The sequence below is a fragment of the Homo sapiens genome, chromosome X (assembly GCF_000001405.40).
Source record: "Homo sapiens chromosome X, GRCh38.p14 Primary Assembly".
Classification (NCBI taxonomy): domain Eukaryota; kingdom Metazoa; phylum Chordata; class Mammalia; order Primates; family Hominidae; genus Homo; species Homo sapiens.
Genome location: NC_000023.11, coordinates 53,471,544 through 53,474,585, shown reverse-complemented (window position 1 = coordinate 53,474,585; position 3,042 = coordinate 53,471,544).

The window sequence follows — 3,042 nt, the reverse complement described above, 5'->3', positions numbered from 1 at the left end:
GTGCCCAGCTTCCAACTTAGTTTCTAAAGAAACCCTGGATCTAGCAGTGATCACCAATGGTTGCCACAGCCCCAAAAGAAACACTGTGTATCACTGATGTGCATGACTATATTCCCTTCTACAGTATAGTGTGTTTTGGGATAACTTATTTAGCCAGGTCTGGGTGCATGTGAGCCCTGTCTGCATACCCCTTTGCTTCTCAATACCTCTGCTTGTGTGTGTGTATCTATGAGGCTGCATCTGCACAGGTCTGTGTTTGGTATCACTGTATGTCAGCCTGTGTGTGGCTCTGCCCATGTCTATGCTAATGGGCTGTGTGTCTCTATATGGCAGGTAGGTCTCAGTGTGACTTGTGTCTCTTTGTGAGTGATTGATGGTTACTATACTGGGTATCTCTGAGTGACTGTGCCTGTATATGTCTCTGTTTGCTGCTGCCATATGTCAAAGTGTGTGTGTGTTTGTGTCTGTGCTTGTGTGCTATGGGTTTGTGTGTGTGTGTGTGTGTGAGAGAGAGAGAGAGAGAGAGAAAGAGAGAGAGAGAGAGGGTATCGTATGGTCACTGTACGTAGGTATCTGGGTGACTCAGAGGCTGTGCCTGTGCTGGCTTCTGTCTATTCATCTGTGCCTCTGACTGAAGAGAGAGAGAGAGAGAGAGCTGGCAAGAACACCTTGATCTAGAATCTTCTCCCCACCTACTCCCATAAGCCAAGACTGCCATCTTGCAGCCTCAGGCATGTGCCACTGGAGTCAGGTGACCCACTGGGTGAGAGGCACCTGCCACCTGCACCCATGGCTCTCCTCAAAAGCAGGGCTTCCAGGGAGGGAGGGAAGGAAGGAAGGAGGACGGAGGGAGAGAGATAAGTGAGGTGGCCCCTTAGGGCTCTCCCAAGGGTTCAGGAAGACCTTACTCTACCTTTCCACCATCCCCTCTCCAGTTCCAACCCTGACTTTCCCAGCCCTCAAGGCATAACTCTATAGTGGCCCTACTCCAGCAGAGTCACCCAAATGCCATAAACCCATACCTACCTCCTTTGCTCAAGGCATTTCCTGCCATCACCTGCACCTACCCCACTTCAGGAGAGCCTCTCTCCTCCCTCCTTTGCCCTTCACCCTGCTCCCCCAGCACTACCAGATTGGGCCAAACTGGAGTGTTTGCCTGGCAAAATCTGAGCCCCAAGTATTTCTGCCCTTATTGGAACTTTGTTACTAGCCAAGTTCATTCCCATCTCAGGACCTTTACACTGTCCCTGCCTAGAACACCCATCCCCTAGACTGATGCACAGCTGGCTCCTTCAGCTCAGGGTTCCAGTCTCGGGTCATGTGTCACCTCAGTGAGGCCTTCCCTGTTCACCACTGCTGAGTGCCCACCCACCTCAGTCTGCTCTACCTCACCTCCCTGCTTCATTTTCTTCAGGGCATTACTCACTACCTAACACCGTCACCGCTGCCCCCACCAGAATGACACCTCTCTGAGAGCAGAGATTTATGTCTGTTCTGTTCACCATGGTGTCCCCAGAACCCAGGACAGGACACTCAATAAGGAATTGGCTGGATGAGTTAAAAGATCTCCCAATATTAGATGCAGACTCCAATCTCCCCTCATCCCCGGCTGTTGATCTCGCCATCCATAGCTCCAAGGAAGGTAGAATGGACTGGACTGAAGGTGAAGTCACAGGACCGGTGAGGTCAAGGGCACCAAGCCAGCCGGCACCTGGCAGTTCCCACACCAGGCACCCTCCCTGCGACCACCCCCAGCTCTTAGGGACCTTACACGGGGCAGGGAGGGGCTGGTTAGGGATGTTGCCCTAACTATGCCTGCTCAGGTCAGCAATATGGAGATGCTGTTTAGCTGAAAGGAGCCTTTGCTGGCCTGGGGTGAGGACCAGGCCCAGAGTCCCTCCAGAGAAGGTTCTCCTGCTTCCCCCACCCAACACAGACCCTGAAAGTGGCAGGAATGGAGGGACTTCCACCAGAGTTTTCAGATGCCCACCATGGCCCTGGGGTAAACAATCATATTCACTTATGATTTATCCTTCCTGTGTTTCTTTTTGCAAAAATAAGCAGATACATGTCTATATTCTCATTTCTTCACTACCACAGACTTTCTCTCTTCTCTTCTCTTCTCTTCTCTTCTCTTCTCTTCTCTTCTCTTCTCTTCTCTTCTCTTTCACAGGATCTCACTCTGTCGCCCTGGCTGAGTGGAGTGGTGTGATCATGGCTCACTACAGCCTCAACCTCCTGGGCTCAAGCAATCCCCCCACCTCAGCCTCGCAAGTAGCTGGGACTATAAGGTGTGCACCACCATCCAGGCTAATTTTTAATTTTTTTTTGTAGAGATGAGGTTTCGCTATATTTGCCCAGGCTGGTCTCGAACTCCTGGTCTCAAGCAATCCTCCTGCTTCAGCCTGCCAAAGTGCTGGGATTAGAGACATGAGTCACTGTGCCCAGCCTAGCCCTTTCTTTTTTTTTTTTAATCTTCTTTTTATTCCTTTTTATCATTCCTTTCTTTCTTTCTTTCTTTCTTTTTTTTTGAGACGGAGTCTAGCTCTGTCACCCAGGCTGGAGGGCAACGGCACGATCTCGGCTCACTGCAACCTCCGCCTCCCGGGTTCAAGCGATTCTCCTGCCTCAGCCTCCTGAGTAGCTGGGATTACAGGCACCCGCTACCACGCCAGGCTAATTTTTGTATTTTTTAGTAGAGATGGGGCTTCACCGTGTTGGCCAGGCTGGCCTTGAACTCCTGACCTCATGATCTGCCCCAGCACTTTCTTTTTAAAACCCAATTGACTAAATGACCAATTCACCAAATTATCAAATCTCCTAGAATCCAAATGACAAAAGCTAACTTGCTACAAAATCAATGTGCTGAATTCTTGAGGATTTGAGGAAATGTTGAGTTTCCCTTTCAATTTTTGAGTTTCTTTCCCAGGTGGTACAAAACACATTCAACCAAGTCTAGGTTAATTCACTACAGCTGTTTGGCAGCCAGAGGCAGCATGGTTGACGTGGTCTATTGATGATTGAGCATCCTGGGGCGGATCC